Here is a 19,559-nt window from a genome sequence, read left to right on the forward strand (position 1 = left end):
GATATAATTTCTTCCTAAAAACAGGATTAATCGAGGTATATTTATATGAGACAAAATATGATTTTCAATCCCACTCTGTAAGATTTTTACTTATCTCAGGATAGGCCAAGTATTTGAGTACTTTGAAACTTTACAGCCTCTATTAATGCCAAATAGAACCCTGCTGTTGTGTCATAGAATTAAATCTGCGTAAGAACCACTAACTTACTTTTTCCTTTAATTCCTTCCTTCCTCTGTAATAGAACAATGCTCTCTTCCGCCAAGATGTCCGTGTCCTAATCCTCAGAACCTATAAATAGGTTTCCTTACACGGCAACATAGACTTTGCAGACATGATTAAATTAAGGATTTTGAGATATTGGAGATTATCCTGGATTATGTAGGTGGATTGGATATAATCATATATTTACTTAAAAGTAGAAAGGGAACAAGAAAAGAAGGTCAGAGTGAGGGCATGTGGGAAGTGTTTGACCCGCCACCAGCATTGCTGCATTGAAGACGGAGGAAGGGAGCCATGAGCCAAGGAGTACGGGTGGTTCTAGTGGCTGGAAAATGCAAGGGAGCAGATTCTTCTCTAGAGAGTCTGGAAAGGAACACAGCTGTGCTGGCACCCCTATTTTACCCAGTGAGACTCAGTTTGATCTTCTAACCGACAGAACTGAGATAACGAATGTGTGTTGCTTTGAGCCACTAAGTTTGTAAGTAATTTGTTAGAGCAACAATAGAAAACTAATACACTTTCCTTCTTTGTTTTCCTTTTAGCAATTTAATTAAGTACCTATCATACTAGACCTTGGAAATTAGAAGACAAATGAGCTAGAATATGGAAATTATTGCTATGCTTTTCTGATTTTAAAATTTCCTAGTAAAGAAATATTTCCTTTCCCTCTTGCAAAGCACACTAAAACAAAAGAAAATGAGAAAAAAACACAACTTCCTGACCCTTAACAAATATGTAAGTTAGGGGTGCAACATTCAATGATGATCAACTAGGAATATAGGAAGATGCTGAAACAAGACACCCCATTGAAGTAGATCTAAGACTAAGACAACAGAGTAGAATTTTCCAAAGCACACAGCCTATTTTTAGGGATATTGTAAAAATTTTGAAATGTAATTTACACATGATTGTTTTAAACAACAGAAAGGAAGACTATCAGCTGGTAGTGAGAGCTTCCCTAGACAAAATTTTCTACCAAAGAGTCAGGGCTGATGAAGACTTACGCAGATATGATTATTTGTAGGGAGCTGTCTCTCAATGCAGCAGAGTGGAGGAAAGAGACCTTGCTTTGGGAATAGCCCTGAAGCTGCCTTTTTGTGGGCTGGAAAGATAAATGCAAATCTGTTTCACCAGGAAACTTCAGAGAAGATGAAGTAAGATATAACCAGGAGATTAGTTAGCACAGGCAAGGGAAAAATGGGAGAGAAAAATAAATCACAAAAATAGAGACTCCAGTGAGAAGTAGAAAGAAAAAAAATCTGTGCCGAATAACACAGTAGCAGACATGGAAGATAGGATTAAGAAAAGTGAGCAAAATATAATGTAAAAGAATGAAGAGTTAAGAAAGATTAGAGAGAAGTGACATATGGAAGACCAACAAGGCAATCTAAGGCACATATAGTTCATCTCAAAATATGAGAAAATATAATATGAGAAAATGTTAGTCATAACAACATTGAATTTAAAACTTGAGAAAGCATTCTGTCTTTCACTGTTAAATATTACCATTGATGTAAAAATATTATAGTAAAATTATTTTACTTTTAAGATAAAGAATCCTTTGGAAATCTTGGTTAAAAAAATTAATCTTTAAGGGAAAAGGCATCAGACCAGCCTCAGACACCCTCACAGCAACATTATATGCTAGAAGCAATGCCTACAAAGTCCTCAGGGAAAGAAAAGGTAAAACAAAAATTTTAAACAAAGTCAAGCAATCAATTAAGTATGCAGTGAACAGACAGACATCTTGGCATGCATTCATTAAGGATTATGAATTCCATAATCCCTTAAAAAATTATTATAGGCCAAATGTCAGCAAACCAAGAGATGACTGGAGAAAATACAGCACATTCACTGTTAATGAAATGATTTAATTTTAAGACTAAGACTAAATCAAATGCCAATCAAACCCAGAAAATGTAGGAGTAACATAGTAACATTCAGGAAAGGAAGGAGGAGAAAGATGAAAAGCAATGTAAATATACTGATTACCTTTAGAACCAGATGTCAAAGATATTATAAATCAAATAAAGCAAGTATTAGAAGTAAAGATATATTTAAAGCTTCAAAGATTAACACTGAGACAAGTTATGTGGTAAGCAACTACAGTTTTGGATGATGAAGAGGAGGAAAAGGAGAAGGGCGTGGGAATATATTACTTTCACTGTTTCTTATAGTAAGGAATAGTCATGAATTGTACAGATGTAATAAATCATGGCACATCCATACAATGGAATGATATGAAGCTGTTACAAACATAGAGGCTGCTCTACATGCATATATATAATTTACAAAATTTTAAAGAGAATAGTGTATAAGAAGAACAAAGAATGTATGTATGTAAGTTTATATACATACACTGGTATAGACTCACAGGCAGGCTAAATAAGGCACAGGAATATAATGCTTCCCTCTCAGAACTTGAAGTCTTGGGGAAAGGCAGTCTTTTTCTCTGTATTCCCCCCAACCCCACCACCCCCGTTTTCTTGAGACGGAGCTCAGGCTGAAGTGCAGTGGCACAATCTTGGCTTACTGCAAACTCTGCCTCCCAGTTCAAGCGATTCTCCTGCCTCAGCCTCCTGAGTAGCTGGAATTACAGATGCCCACCATCACGCCCAGCTAGCTTTTGTATTTTTAGTAGAGACAGGGTTTCACCAAGTAGGCCAGGCTGGTCTTGAACCCCTGACCTCAAGTGATCTACCCGCCTCGGCCTCCCAAAGTGCTTGGATTACAGGTGTGAGCCATAGCACCTGGCCATACCCCCTTTTTATTGATACATAATAATTGTACATATTTATGGGATAAATATGATACTTTGATACATGCATACAATGTGTAATGATTAAAGCAGAGGAAATGGGATATCCATCACCTTAAACATTTATCATTTCTTTGTATTAAGAACATTCCAAATCTTCTAGCCATTCTGAAACATACCCCTTTTTATGACTTTTGAATTTTGTATTTTGTGCATGTACTGCCTATTATAAAATGTATACTGCAGTTGTTTTGGCAAGGAAAAAATGAGTTAGAATCCTGATTTTACCCTCCAGAGTTTCACACTCCTTTGAGGTGAGACAGATAAACAGATAACTCTTAAATAATGAGGTAAGTGCTATGAAATAAGACGGTACCAGGTGCTTTGGGGAAGTCTAAGAGGCTTAATTCCTACTGGAGGGGTTAGAGAAGCTGAGTTTTGAATGGAAAGAATAATTTAAGAGATATTTGTAAATGGTGTAGATGAATCTACTTAATAACAGACTCAAAATAAAATATGAGGCTGCTGAAGAAGCCAAATATGGAAACATCATCTTGTACCCCATAAATATATACAACTATTATTTGTCAATGAAAAATAAAACCAAAAATAAATAAATAAATAAAAGATTCACTGGTTCTGGTTCCAGCCACCTGGTAGATTGCAGGGCTACTTATTTTTAGTTCAGCAAATATTTTTTACCACCTCACTATATTCCAAGCACCATGTTGAACCCTGGAGATTAGAATTTAAATAAGAAACAGTCCTTTTCTTTAAGGAAGGTGAAATCTAATAATGGCATGTGGTAGATGGCAGTCATAACTTCAAGTATTCACCGCTCTCTCAATCCGTACCCTTTGTAGCACCCTACCACTATGGGCAGGTCACTTTGCCCTATACCTAAACACCGGGCCCAACCCAGTGACTTGCTTTGGGCAAAACAAGATGGTAGCAGACATGAAGCAAGCAGAGGTGTGAAATGGGCTTGGCATTGGCACTTCCTCTCTCTGGTACTTCTGCCATTACCATGAAGTTGAGATGGAATAAAGCCCTTTATGAACCAGCCAAAATGGACACATTCATTTCTGGTTGCATTAATGTTATTTTGAAAGAGAAGGAAAAAGCATAAACATCACACAAATCCTTTGCTGTTAGTTGTTTGTCTGCAAATCTGCTGCATTTTATAAAACACTATATATATAAGGTAAACCTGGTGGGTGCATCCACTCCAAAGAGTAAGACCTATACCACAATTTTGTGCAAAATAAAAAAGTGTACTACGTCTTTGGGGCCAATTCAGCCCAGTGCCAAGCAAAAGGCTTTGCAAGAGGAGCATCTCAGCGAACACTTGGCCCATTGACTGAGTATCCTCATGCAGTGCGCAACCTGACCTACTGTATGTGGTAATCCTGCTTAAATTTTAGATGGGACTTTCTGGCAACCTCCGCCTCCCTGGTTCAAGCCATTCTCCTGCCTCAGCCTCTTGAGTATCTGGAATTACAGGCATGCACCACCACGCTTGGTTGATTTTGCATTTTTAGTACAGACGAGGTTTCACCTTGTTGGCCAGGCTGTTCTCGAACTCCTGACCTCAAGTGATTCACCCGCCTCAGCCTTCCAAAGTGCTGGAATTACAGGCATGAGTCACTGCACTCTGCCAGCTCAGTTTAATAAAGTCTAGAAAAGGAACCTCTTTGAGGAAACACCTATGAAATGCAAGGAAATTTTTCTTTTGATCATGAGCTAAAATATAAGCTTCATAAAATTCTGTAAAAATTCAATTAATCTTGTCTTCTTTCTTCTGGATTTTGTTGAACTGATGTGAGTCCAATTTCTGAAAAGGAAGCTGGAGTCCCATCAGCCGGTATGCAAACTGACCAAGTCACACAGCCTCTCGGACTTAAAATGTTCACCAACCAGCACTTTGGGAGGCCGAGGTGGGCGGATTATGAGGTCAGGAGATCGAGACCATCCTGGCTAACAAGGTGAAACCCCGTCTTTACTAAAAAATACAAAAAATTAGCCAGGCGTGGTGGCGGGTGCCTACAGTCCCAACTGCTAGGGAGGCTGAAGCAAGAGAATGGCGTGAACCCGGGAGGCGGAGCTTACAGTGAGCCGTGATCCCGCCACTGCACTCCAGCCTGGGTGACACAGCGAGACTCTGTCTCAAAAAACAAAAAGTTCATCAATTAGTTGAAATGATTGGATCACTTGATCCTCTAAGTCACTTCTAGGTGGAAAACTGCAAAAAAATATTATTATTTTGGTCAGTATTAATCACAATGGCAAAATTGACTAAAAAATAATGTAAAAAATTTATTTTTGTGTGTGGGTGAAAATTTTGGGCTTCCTGAGGCATAGAGGGACAATCATTTTAACTGAATTGTACTTTTGTTGTGATTCCAACCACATGGAGTCAGTGAAGGAAAGAAAAGAACATTGAGTCTTGTTGAGTGTGCAATTGATATTTATATTGTAAGTTAATGTATTTTTCTAATCTTGTTGCAGCATAACAGAAATGGTAGGAACGAATCATTGTATTTACAAAACTGATTTGTTCACATTTAAAGAATGGAGAGAAACATAAAACCATGCAATTAGGCCAGCAGTTGAGCAGCCTCATTAAGTACTGGGTATATTTTCCATATGCTCTGATTTCATTTTACATAATCCTGTCATAAACAACAGGTAAGTGGGAACAGTGCACTCATTTGTAAATCATATTCTGTAGGTTAAATGCTGATATCAGTTTTGAGGCTTTTCTGATTTAAATTTAACAGCACATATTCCCCATATTTCAAGGGAATGATTACTGATGTTTTGGCATCAGAAAAATACTTTAATTGTCATTTGAATTATTTGGAGTAAACCCTTTTTTATCCAGAAATATGTCATAATTTTATTTCTGTTCTTTTGAATAAAATATTTAGGAATTTACTTTACCATGACACAGAATATTCTTTATTCTCACGAAACAACCCAGTATTGAGCACTTAGTATACCACATTGTGCTAGGAATAGAGAATATGGAAAGAAGTAGTATAGTAGTACCAGGACCAGTTTTCTTTTCCTTTCCTTTTCTTTTCTCTTCTTTCTTTTCCTTCCTTCCTTCCTTTCTTCCTTCCTTCCTCTTTCTTTCTTTCCTTCTTTCTTTCTTTCCTTCTTTCTCTTTCCTTCCTTCCTTCCTTCCTTCCTTCTTTTTCTTTCTCTCTCTCTCTCTCTGTTTTTTTTTCTGACAGAGTCTTGCTCTGTTGCCAAAGCTGGAGTGCAGTGGCCACTGCAACCTCTGCCTCCCTGGTTCAAGTGATTCTCCTGCCTCAGCTTCCCGAGTAACTGGGATTACAGTTGCGTGCCACCATGCCCAGATAATTTTGGTATTTTTAGTAGAGATGAGGTTTCACTATGTTGGTCAGGCTGGTCTCGAACTCCTGACCTCAAGTAATTCACCCGCCTCGGCCTCCCAAAGTGCTGGGATTATAGGCGTGAGCCACCGTGCCCGGCCAAGACCAGCTTTCAAGGACCTTTCATGTGCACTTTTAAAAAATCCCACAATTTTTTTTTACCATCAAAACAGATTGTATAAATACCTTCTATTTTATTATACAAGGATATACTGCACAACAATAAAAAGGAAGAAATTACAGATACAAGCTACAACATGAATGAATCTCCCAGACGTACTGCTGAGTGAAAGAAACCAGACACGGAAGAGTACCTTTTGCATGATTTCATTTATACTAAGTTCACAAACAAGAGAAAGCAAATCTGTGGTGTTTGAATAGTGGTTACCTGTGGTGTGGTGGTGGTGGTGGTGGGGTGTGTGTGTGTGTTTGTATGTGGGAAGGATATTGACTGAAAAAGTGCATGAAGAAATTTCTGGAGTGCTATAAAGGATTTATATCTTTATTGAGGTGTGGTCACATAGACGTTTATATAAGTAAAACTCCTCAAGCCCCCACTTAAGATTTTTGTACTTTATTGTACATATATATATATATAAAATATCTTTATCACCTTCTTCATCGTCATCATCCAGTCTAGTTGAACATCTGCAGTCTAATCATATCCTAAGCCTAGCTGATATATACAAAATTCTATTCTTAAGCAAGTAGTTTGGAATGGAATTAATCTTTATTTTACTTTTCTATTTTCCCTTTACACTCCAATCAATGATTAATTTAATCGAAAGTTCAGTGGGAGTTTTTTTTTTTTCACCAGACATTACATTGCACATAAACTCAATCCTTAGGCAATTTTCTTCATTATCATTTTCTTTGGTATTCAAAGAAAACCAAAGTTGTTTTAGTTGTTCAGTGCACAGGGGAACAAGACACAAAGTTAGGGAAAGGATACCCTGAGGTCCAGACAGCTCGTATCAGGCCTGTCTGTGTGCTGCCCACTTTTCAAAGATATATGTCTCTAATTAAGGTAAACTGGGCAAATGCGCCAGTGGTGATCTCTGTCTTCCAAAGCACAGCATGCAAAAAGCTAGGTGAAAACTGTAATTAATGTGCCACTTTAAATGGGAACAAGAGATGTACTGCCCTTTGTCTAAAAGAGATACAACATGATCTTTTGCTAATACGGTTGAGACTATTCAGCTAAAGGTCCTTATTGTCACTATTATCCTTTCATATTAAGTAACAATGACAATAAGCAAGACTTTATACAAATCAAAGTAAAGAACTGGTGGCGTTTGCAGTTTGCTTTGGCTTTTCTTGTGGTGAATGTTAATTTTCATAACACAATGTTGCCAGGTAATTGATAACTAGAGTCTGCAGCTGAGCACGATGAGGTGTTCAGGGATCTACATTCTAGAGAAAGTCTTCAAAATTGGTCTAGGCATCCTCCTTGCTGCAGAAACAGCTCCATCTTACCTGCCTTCCTGTTGGCCAACCCATTAGCCTGGCTGGGATGGGCAATTTTCTCTATTTTCTCTGGGCTTCCAGTAGATACTCTAGAAGGCTCTTCAGCTTAACTTTCTTGCAGATGCCTCACCCAACAGGGTGGCCTACCTAGCATGTGAGACCCAGCATTGAGATGCTCTAGGCTGGACCACCATGAAGAGAACTGTGGAGCCTGGGAAAAAAGGAGAACCTGGGGTTGGAATTCCAGAAGGACCTTCCAAGGGCCTCCCTTATTATCTCCATGGCAGAGAGCTTGCATTGCACTCCTGACAGATTGTGTCCCTGATTTCCTAGCCAGAGAAGCAGCCACAGTGAACCAAGAGAAGGCCATAATGGCTATAGGTCAAAGGTAGAGACACTGGCCTTTTCTTCTTGCTGCCCAACATTCTGGCGGAACTAGGCCTTGAAGGGCAAATGGCAGGGTTGGGGAGGGTGGCTGGGGAAGGGCAGTGGGTAGGAAAATGTTTAAATGCCAGATCCTGTGCCAGTAACCTTCCACTTCAAGAATTAAGGCATCTAATAGGGCTTGCAGTGGGACAGGGAGAAGACAGAAGACTGAATTTAAGTTGAGTTTGAAGGTGAAGGTTTAACCTGATGATATGGTTTGGCTGTGTCCCCACCCAAATCTCATCTTGAATTATAGTTCCCACAATTCCCACATGTTGTGATAGGGACCCGGTGGGAGGTAATTGAATCACGGGGATGGGTCTTTCCTGTACTGTTCGCCTGACAGTGAATAAGTCTCACGAAATCTGATGGTTTTATAAAGGGGAGTTCCCCTGCACAAGCTCTTGACTGCCACCATCCATGCAAGATGTGACTTTGCTCTTCCTTGCCTTCTACCATGATTGTGAAGCCTCTGCAGCCATGTGGAACTGTGACTCAATTAAACCTCTTTCCTTTATAAATTACCCAGTCTTGGGTATGTCTTTATCAGCAGCATGAAACAGACTAATACACTTGGTCTGAGTTTTAATACTGAAAAGTGATAAACTCTGCCCTAGTGGACCCACTGCTGTATCCTTAGAATAGGCTCCTTTTTCTACCCTCCCTCCTATAGGCATTCTTAATGCACATCTTCCTAAACCATCAATCAGATCATGTCATGACCCTGTTTAACATCTTCCAATGGGTTCATGACACACCCAGACTAAAGTCCAAGGTTGTTTCTGTGACCTTACATGGTCTGGCCCCCTGCTGCCTCTGTGACCCCACTTCTGCTCACTCCATGTCTTGCTCTGCCACTCTGGCCTCCTTTCATCCCTTGGACATGCCAAGCATATTCTCATCCGAGAGCCTTGGCTGGTCTCGCTGCTGGAAACACTGTTCTCTAGATATTAACATCTCTCATTCAGCTTCCACTCAAATGGCCTTAGAGTGGCCATCTCTGATCCCTATCTAAAATAGCTGCCTCTCTACCTCATCTCAGGAAGCCTTCTTTTCACCATGGTTCTTAGCACTACTCAATGTTTTACATATATATATATAGAGAGAGAGAGAGAGAAAGAGAGAGACAGAGAGATTATATATATATTTACTTATATAGGTTATAAAACACTACTTAGCACTACTCAATGTTTATATATATATATATATATATATATATATATTTTTTTTTTTTTTTTGAGACAGGGTCTCACTCTGTTGCCCAAGCTGGAGTGCAGTGGCCATGACCTTGGCTCACTGCAGCCTCCACCTCCCAGATTCAAGTGATTCTCCCACCTGAGCCTCCTGAGTAGCTGGACTATGGGCACATGCCACCATACCCAGCTAATATTTGTATTTTTTTGGTAGAGTTGGGGTTTTGCCATGTTGGCCAGGCTGGTCTCGAACTCCTGACCTCAAGTGATTTGCCCACCTTGGCCTCCCAAAGTGCTGGGATCATAGGCTAGAACCACCACACTTGGCCCAATGTTCTATATTTTTAATATGCTATTGTCTATCTCCTGTGATAGTATCTAAGTTTCTTAGGGGCAATTATTTTTGTCTCTTGCTTATTTTAGTATCCTGGCCAAAGAGTAGTGCCTGGCACATAGAAGGTTTCAAAAAATTTGTTCAATGGGCCAGGCACAAACCTGTAATCCAAGCTCAATCCTTTGGCTCAAACCTGTAATCTGAGTACTTTGGGAGGCTGAGGCAAGAGGATCATGTGAACCCAGGAGTTCACAACCAGCCTGGGCAACATAGTGAGACTCTGTCTCTACAAAAAAATAAAATAAAAAAATTTAGCAAAGTGTGGTAGCGCACACTTGTAGTCCAAGCTACTGGGAGTGCTGAGGTGGGAGGATCACTTGAGCCCCTGGGTTTGAGGTTGCCGTGATGATGCCACTGCACTCCATCCTGGGCAACAAAGCGAGACCCTGTCTCAAAAAAAAAAAATGTGGAATGAATGACCATCTAACATGTCATCAAAGGCAGGGTAAGGGAATTGAGAATTTGGATTGAATTTAGGATTTAGAGAAAAAAATTATTTAATGTTTATACCTGAGTTGAGATTCCTTAATAAACATATTATTAGATTGAAGACTTAACAGTAACAACAAAGATTACTGTGACTTGGTTTACCAATATATAAAATGAAAGATAGGCTTAATCTATACAACTTTGAACTCTAAGGCAGGAGGGCTAGTTTTATGGACTCTGATGTGTGTGGTAGATTTTAAAAACAAAATACTACTCTATTTTGTGTCTCCTTTTATTAAAATTGAAGTTGATTTCTCCATGTTTTGAATCTGGGCATGGCCATGTGGCTTGCTTTGGCCAGTAGAACATTAGCAAGCAGAGGTATAAAATGCTATTTTGAATTGGGGCTTTCCTTCTTTTGCTGCTGGGAACTAGGAACTCACCATACGAAGAAGCCATATGGGAATACCCTGTCATCCTTGCCATCCGGATGAGGCTCCAAGCTCCGCATGTCTGCAGCTGCATGAGTAGGCCCAGGAGAACAACACTGCTCAGCTGATTTTAGCTCCAGTTACTGATTCACAGAATTGTGAGCTAATGAATAATTGTTGCTTTAGGCTACTATGTGTTGGTGTGGTTTGTTACACACTAAAGGCTAACTGATATAGTGTGTTTGGGTGCATTATCTACTAATACTATGTTCTATTGTTAAAAACTGTCAAGACACACAGCTTCAGCTCATCTGTCTGTGAGTGATACCTGGGGAATAGAGGAACATACACAGGAAGCCCTGGAGAACTGGGTTTGAGCCTAGTGATGCTACTTCTTGGCCGTGTGACCTGGGGGCAAATTGCTTAACCTTTTTGAACCTTGGTTTTCTTATACATATAAAATAAAGAACAGGCCTAAAATACTGCCCTAACCTCTTGCAACTAAAAATCTATCTAAAGACAGCAACATCAGCATGGTGTGGGAACTTGTTAGAAATGCAGAATCTCTGATCCCACCCCAGATCTGCTGAATCAAAATCTGGAGTTTAACAAGATCCTCAGGCAACTTGTATGCCCATTACACACTGCCTTATCATGCTGGAATCACTCAAAATCACCAGATCCCTTTTTTTTTCTTTGAGATGGAGTTTTGCTTTTGTCGCCCAGGGCGGAGTGCAGTGGGGCTATCTCAGCTCACTGCAACCTCCGCCTCCCGTGTTCGAGAGATTCTCCTGCCTCAGCCTCCTGAATAGCTGGGATTACAAGTGCCCACCACCACGACCGGCTAATTTTTTTTTTTTTTTGTATTTTTAGTAGAGATGAGGTTTCACCATGTTGGCCAAGCTGGTCTCGAACGCCTGACCTCAGATGATCCACCCGCCTTGGCCTCCCAAAGTGCTGGGATTACAGGCGTGAGCCACCGCGCCCAGCCAAAATCACCACATCTTTAATATCCCTAACAGTGAAGAGCCACCAGCCTTTCCCTGGGATCTATCTTTCCTTTCCAATCTTGTGGGGAAACTTGGTCTGGGATATTTTTCTTGGCTTCTTCACAGGCAGACAGCTTCAGCTGCTGAGGAGCTTTTTTTCCAGGCTCAGCTAAAATTACAGCTTAGTAGTTGAGCTGGGGAGTGGTCAGTGGGGCCTCAGCCCCCTCTTGCTTAAGGATGCCCAGTTGGTTAAACTTTTGATGATTATTACCCCCATCTCTTAGCCCTGCCTGGAAATGGCCAGGATGTGCCAGGGGAATGAGTCTTTTGCATCTACAACTGCCCCTGCCCATCAGAGCCTGGACTATTGTTTGCACACACATTCCCCCTCCATTTCTTACACTTCACGCCCCGTCTGGCCCTTTCTTTCCTCCTGGCCAGCCGGACCGGCTCAGGCGGCTGAGCATGCCTAGTGCAGCTGCGAGCATGGCCCCAGTCCCCAATGCGCAGGTGCCACGTCTCCGGGTTTTGGTGGCCGCCGGCCGGGAGAAGGAGGAGGCGGAGTGGGGAGGAGGGAGCCCTCCGGAGTTCGGGAGCAGCACGTTGTGAGGGTCCACACAAGGGTGATGCCAGACCGAACACCATTAGGGCCTGGGTGTGAGTGTGACTCGGAGGCACCTGGGGGCCGTTGTAGGGCCGGGAAAAGCCAGGAACTGGCTGGAGCAGCACCCCAGCATCCCAGGGACCAAAGTCTGGGGGATTTGCATGTCTGAGGTTGCACTTGTGGGAAGACTTTTTGGAACCACTTAATCTCTGTGGCTCTGTGTAAGACCCGCGAAATAAAAAGAGGCAGTAGTACTCTTTGGAAGATTGTTTTAGGGATTAAATGAATAAAAAGCGTTTAGAACACTGCAGGACGCATTGTAGGCGCTGTATGGGTTTATGAAACCGAATATAAACAAATAAGCACGTCCCCCACCCAGCCAACGGCTTTGGGGGCCCCGTTCTGGCCAGTCCTGAGCCCCTCCACACGGCCCACGGCGGGCTGCGGGTCTCCCATCCGAGGAGGGTGCCGCTTTTCTGCCCCCGCTCCCTGGGTTCTGCGCCCAGCGCCATCCCGTGCGCCCCCGACCCTTGGGCATGGGGCACATGCCGCGGGGAGCCGCCAGGGAGACCCCAGAGGAGCGCGCCGCGGGCCGGCTTCCCCGGATGCCCCACCCACCTCCTCTTGGCGCTGCCCACCACCTGCCTCGGCTGCTCGGCCCCCGGCTCGCGAGGCTGCGCCCCCGACCCAGTCGGCGCCCACTCCTCGCCCTGCGGGCTCGCGGCAACTGGGCGGCCGGCCCGGCCCCTGCCCACCCCCAGCCCAGCCCGGCGCGCCGCACTGGGCATGCTCCGTAGCCTGGGCAGGTTGGGGCTGCGAGGCGACAGCTCGGGCTCTGGAGCCGGGAGGCGAGAACGAGGAGGGAGGCTCGGGGGCAGGGGAGGAGGAAGCGGCTGGCCGCTGAGGGGCGGCGGGGCCCGGAGCGGGGGACGCGCAGGGCCCGGCGGTGGGCGGGCGGGTCGGCGCTGCCCCGTGGGCTCGCTGGGGAGCCACGGCGGAGACCCCCGCCCTCAACTGAGGTAAGGACCGCGCGGCGCGGAGACGGGGAGGCGGGGAGGCCAGGGAGGGGGTGCGGAGGCAGGCGGGAGGGCGGGACTGGGGTGCGCCGGGAGGGGGCTTGGCGGCGGCTCTTTATGGCGAGGAGGGGGTGGTGGCGCCGCGCCGGGAGCAGTAAGTGAGCTGCACCGCCAACAAGATCTCTCACACACAGACACACACACGCACACGCACACACGGGCGCGCACACACACGCGCGTACACACTGGGTCTCCAGGCAGCGGCCGTCGCCGCATCCCCGGCAGCAGCTCCAGGCAAAGTGACAGGTAGGAAAAGGCATTTCGGGTCCCGCCCGAGGATGCTCCCGCCCGCCTTGGCCCTCAGGGCTTGTTTGCTTTCCGCGGGTGCGTCCCGGACGCGCGCGCGCGCGCACCCGGATGCCCAGCGGGGACCCCGTGCAGGTGCCGGGTGCCAGGCGCCCTGTGCGCGCGGGAGGCAGGGGACCCAGACGCCATCCCCCTTCCCCTGCAGTCATCGCCTGCTGGGTTTCCTCAGACTCTCTCCAGACGTTCACCCTCTTCTGGGCTAGAAATAGCTCGGCTCGACGTGTATATGATTATTTTGGTTGGAAATAGTTGGCACCGTGCAACGCATGTAAATGTGTATGCGTGTGGATCTTCTTGCCTCTTCTGGGGAAATCATAGAAATGATTGACCGTTTCCACTTAAAACAACACTGACAGGCTTAGCACTCATTGGGGGCAGGGTTCGGGCCTCCTAAAAGCCTGTTAGTGAAGGAAATCCTTATTTTCAGAATTTTAAAGTTGCTTTTGCTTTAACCAATTAGACTCTGTATAGTACAATACTTCTGAGTGTAGACTTCGTATATGGTACTGAATCGAAGTATGGAAATATGGAATTCTCTAATTTCCAAGTGTGTTTAAGTGCAACTTTATCTAGAATCATAAAACTAGCATTTTCCTAGAGAGAAATACAACTGCCCACTATAGTTTCCATAAATATGGATATATCTGAAAGATGACCCTACTCTTCCAACTTTTTTTCCTCTTAACTTCTGTAGTGATTCTAGCTATTGTTCTAAAACATGTATTTGAAATTTAATTTTGGCCAGAATATTCAGGAAAGGTGTTTTTTTTTCCATATACGTAATACTTAGTGGTCTATATATTTAAGTTATAGGTATGTGGAGATAGCTGTTTAATAATTCTTTTTGTCTGGAAATAACGTTATTCAAACATAGGCAGCTATGTATCATTTTAAAATGATATTGAATTTCCCCTTAAAGAGAAATCAGATTTATAATGTAAACATGACCAGGAAAAGCAACTGGTGACTTTACCTGGGGAGGCTCCAAGGAGGTTAAGAAAGTATCTGAACAACTGTGTTTTTCAGAATAGAAAAATTGTGTGTGTGTTGCGGGGGAAGGTAAAATTTTAACTTTATTCTTTTATTGTTTTCAAGACGGCTGTTTTCAGAAATGTGTGGTTGAACTGAGACCCTCATATTTTATACTCTTCAAATTTGAGTGGCCTCAGTTATAGAATCATACAGAAGATCAAAAGTCTAGCTCAGCAGGGGCATGTGGTGTAATCCCTCACTATCTGTGTTATGTAATCCAGAATGCTGTTTTTCATAGGACAGTCTTGCATGATCCTTAGCTGGTGTATTGATCTATTATATCATCTTCCTTTTGAACTGTAGTAGTTTAATAAATGATTGCCATCTTTGGAGAGCACCTGTTTTCATAAAAAATCACTTTTTGAAATGGCAAAACATTTTTATTGGCACTTTTATGAACGTAAGACTTGCTGCCAGACGAGTAACCTTTTGAATGTGACGTATTATAACATATCTAAAGGTACCATGTATTAGCTTATGGACTACACTTCCTTCCAACTATATTATTACTCAACAGTTGGAACTTAGTTTTGATGGTATTACTACCCAGCTCTGAATTAATCGCTGTTGAAAATGCTGTTCTACAAGTAACTGTCAAAACAGAATTTCTAACTCCATTTGATCACTGGGTGCACATTTAAATCTGTCGGAATAACTCTACCTTTATTTTGCAAATGCATACCCACGCAGAAAGCTTTGTTCTAAAATACTCTATTGGAAGTTTTATATTTATATGCCTGAAAATGTGAGTGATGTTAAACTGCTTACATGTCCTGGAATCGTGAGGCGGTGTGTTTTTGCCTTATGAGATAAAGAAATATGGTAGTTGAAAAAGTGTTACAGGTTACCAAAAACCTTTTGCAGGAAAAGATTTTAAAAATTTGTATCACCTCTGAAATATTTCAACCACAGCAGAGTCCATTCAGTGCCCGTAGCACAGCTAGTTTGCCTTTCCCAAGATTACACACAACTGTCTTTAGATTAATGTATACTGCTGACTTTGGCAACATGGGACAGTTATATTTGGCAATTTCAGTAAACATGGTATTTTCCTAAGATACCACTAACTTCATTTTGGGGTTTGATTTATTAAGAATTGAAATGTTTGCCTGGTATTCATCTTTACCTCACCCTCTAAGTAAAATTGAGGTAAAAGTGAGCTTCAGGGCTGCTGTGCTGTTTTCCTTGTGATCACATTAGCATGCTAATTTGTGAAAGGATGTAACAATATAAGTGAAATTAGCTTCTGAGTTTAGTGTCTGAATTTTCATCCCCAGTTTTTCAGATGTAGCTGGAAAACTCAAATAACAGAATTAATGAAAAAATTTTGCAGATTATTAAAAAAAATTAGTAATTAGCTGAGTTTGATTTTTTATTTTGAAATCTTGAGAGTAAATTTTATCTTTTCGGATTAGAGCACTTAGGTAATGTAAGAAAGATTTTGGATTTCTCATGCTCTCCACACTTAATAGTAAACTATTTTTGAGGAAGTATAAATTTTCTTTGAAACTTAAAATTATTTAGCAGGCTGTGACTAAATTTTTGTTTGTGATCACTTATAAAGTAAGGGTGAAACAGCATGTTGATTAGCACCGCCGACCCAGGTCTTTTAATAAACTGTCTATCTACCACAGTTGAGTCCCTGTAAAACCAAGAACTTCTGTATTTGATATGCAAAATTAGGTCAAGGACTAATGGAGATGCTTTAATGATCACAGTTGGTATTTTATGTCCAGATTGAAGTTTTTAAAATAGTTGCTTTTCACCTCATAATATATGAATGTGTAGGCCATATTAGTGTCTGTCAAGGAGACTTATCTGCCTGTTGGGAAATAAATACAGCTTTTCATCGCTGGTGGGAGGCAGCAGTGACTTTCTGTGGTTTTGCTGTTGGTTTTCAGATGTGAACTGTGTTTGCAAGGACACTGCTTAATTCTCAGTGCTGTCCATTCCACATTTTCCTATTTCCCTCTCATATTGGGAAAATGAATAAACTTGTGTAGCTCTTTCTTCTATTCCTTAGTATTTGTTTGTTTAATAGTTTTGCTTTTGATAAAGCCTCACCCTTTAAAGTAGAAATACTTTCTCAAATTGTAATATTATTTATCTAGTTATGCCTTAGAATGATATAAAGGTTTTACATGTTCCTAGGCTGTGATTCTTTAGCTAACCAAGTATAAAAATGAGTTTACTTCCTTGCCAGTGGAGGCAGACCTGGGTGATTATGCATTACTGAGTGGATGAGTGTGATGTTTACATTGTCTTGGTTGGAATTAAGCTTGCTTTGAAAATATCACCCTGGAATAACTTTTATTTGCAAGGCCCACTTCACTCCTTTGCAGCAACCACTCCCAAACCCCATTTTCTGGGTGGAAGGGTAGAAAGAGTCTGGGTGGAAGCTCACGACTTTGGATGCTTTTTTATGCTGAAGGCGTAACCCAAGTTTCTAGAGGAGATGAAAGTAATAATGCTGTACCTTTCAAATCTCAGCTAGGAGATCCTTATGTTCCAGGGAATGAATGACCAGCAGAGTGTTTATTTTCCCTGCATGCACTTCGTCTACTTTTCCTTTCCTTTATCAAATAAAAATAGTTGAAATGGACATAAATCCAAGGTTTTTCTCTGAACACCTCTCTTACTCACTACTTATAAAACCTTCAATGAGAATGTCACACACCATGTGACCATAAGATAGTGTTATCTTCTCCCCTTTCCTGGGATTCTCCTTCAAAGCTCAAAGGATCTTTTGGTATGCCTAGGGCTGGGAAATTCCACCTCTAGCTACGGAAATACCCTTGGGCCAGGCAAATCATGGCTTTAAGATACATTGCCCTTCTTGTCCTCCCGAACAATTAAAGCATGTCTTTGGCTCCCAGACATGAGTGAATTGAAGTAGCCATTTCCTTAGAAACAGGAAGAAAAAAGCAACTTGAAGTAATTAATTGTAAGCAGCTCATCCAGAGATCAGAGACCACAGACCACAGACCCCTGATTTTACATTTGACATCTCCCTTTCTTCTCTAGAACAGGAGTTCTTCATTTTAGGGCCAAGGATGCAGTTTGGTGGGTCCACGAATGTGGCTGGCAAATGAATTACATCTTTATATTCACTTACTTCCAAGTGACAATTGGGGCAGGTGTTAGGGCTACTACTAGATCTTGGCATTTAGTGGGTTGAAGAGAAACACATGTATTACTTCACATATCCCTTTAAAGAGTTATTTTGATAATTATATTTCAATGAGATTGATTTCCATTGTACTTTTAGGTATTTAATTTTATATATTTAAACATATTATGCTGGGCCAGGCATGCTGGCTCACACCTCTAATGCCAGCACTTTGGAAGGCTGAGGTAGGAGGATTACTTGAGGCCAGGAGTTTGAGACCAGCCTAGGTAACACAGTAAGATCAATTTATGCAAAAAATACCAATAAAAAAATTAGCTGAGTGTGGTGCACATGCCTGTAATCCTAGCTACTTGGAAGGCTGAGGCAGGAGGATCGCTCAAGCCCAAGAGTTCAAGGTTATAGTAAGCTGAGATCGCATCAGTGCACTCTAGCCTGGGTGACAGAGTGACAGTCTATTAAAAAATAATAATAAAATGAAAATATCCTGCTGAAAAGGGTCTTTAAGATTTACCATATTGCGAAGGGCATTCATGACCCACACAAGGCGAAGACCATGTGCTCGAGAAATGCTTCCTCCCAGAGGCAGCTGGCTGGGTGGGTGTTTTCACTGTGGGTTTGCATTGAGCAGTGGTTGCTGAGATCTTCAGGCGTTGGAATCAGGCACTGAATTCCTGACAAATGCCCTGTTTTAGCTTGAATGCTGACAGATGCCCTCTTTTAGCTGTGTGACCCTGGGCATTCACTCTGAGCCTCAGTTGCCCTATCTGTAAAATGAGGAGAATAACCCTATGGGGCAAAAGTGCTTGGTGCTGCACTGTGAATGATACAGGGTACTGTTACTGCTGCTACTACAGGTGCTCAAAGGATCCCAGGATCTTTGGGTGTGCCCAGGTTTGGGAAATTCCACCTGTAGCTACGGAAACACCCTTGGGCCAGGAAAATCATTACTTTAAGATACATTGCCTTTCTTATGCTCCTGAACAATTAAAAGCATGTTTAACAAGTGCTACTGCCCCTTCTCCTAATGGTACTACTAGTATTATGGCTCTCATCTTGTTCTCTTTCATAGGGGTAGATGGCATTGACCTTATCCATACAAAGCAGCCTGAGAAAATTCCTATAAAATTTACAAGGGACACTTACTTTGCCACTCTGCAAGTACAGAAAGTTTCAGTCACCCCACAGGACCACCATGAAGTACCAGATCTTCCTTTGGACTTGCCAAGCCCAGTGACTGCATTTGGACAGAGGGACCTAATATTAACTCAGTCCTAATAGCTTCAAAATTCTGTGACTTTGGTGTTTCAGAATATAATTCAGTGAGCCAGATGCTGTCCCCAGGGTATCTGTCTCCCAGCTAGGCTTTTTTTTTTTTTTTTAAACAAAACAAAACAAAACAAAACAAAACAAAACAAAACAAAACATATTAAGCCATTTAGACCTGGAGGGAGAAAGGCCTCCACTAGAAGAATTAGGGGTCTCTGGTGTTCAGGGGCAGTCACCATAGCTCTTGTTTTTCCATGGAGTTTCTCGGAGAGTACTCAACTTCTCTGCTTTACATAGTATTATAATAACAACAACAAAATAAAACAACAGACATTTGTTGAGCAGTTAAAATGTGCCACTTTATTTAATACTTCTGACAGCCTTTTTGAGTGTGTCCTAATAGCATCTCCAGTTTATACTTGGGGAAACTGAGGTTA

The 19,559-nt window shown here is 42.1% G+C and overlaps 1 protein-coding gene across 10 annotated transcripts in view; it reads left to right on the top strand.

The window, feature by feature from the left end:
* The window catches only part of PLCB4 (phospholipase C beta 4), a 412,131-nt gene continuing 405,677 nt past the window's right edge, over positions 13,106-19,559 (top strand). For 7 of the 10 annotated variants that reach the window (NM_001377142.1, NM_000933.4, NM_182797.3 and 4 more), the window contains exon 1: positions 13,515-13,634. The gene's annotated coding sequence lies outside the window, so the exon portion shown is untranslated. Of the gene's footprint in view, positions 13,332-13,514; positions 13,635-19,559 lie in introns of those variants that run through there. The other 3 variants (XM_024451898.2, NM_001377134.2, XM_005260724.3) reach the window with 1 other exon arrangement.

This window comes from Homo sapiens, chromosome 20 (genome assembly GCF_000001405.40).
Source record: "Homo sapiens chromosome 20, GRCh38.p14 Primary Assembly".
Taxonomy (NCBI): domain Eukaryota; kingdom Metazoa; phylum Chordata; class Mammalia; order Primates; family Hominidae; genus Homo; species Homo sapiens.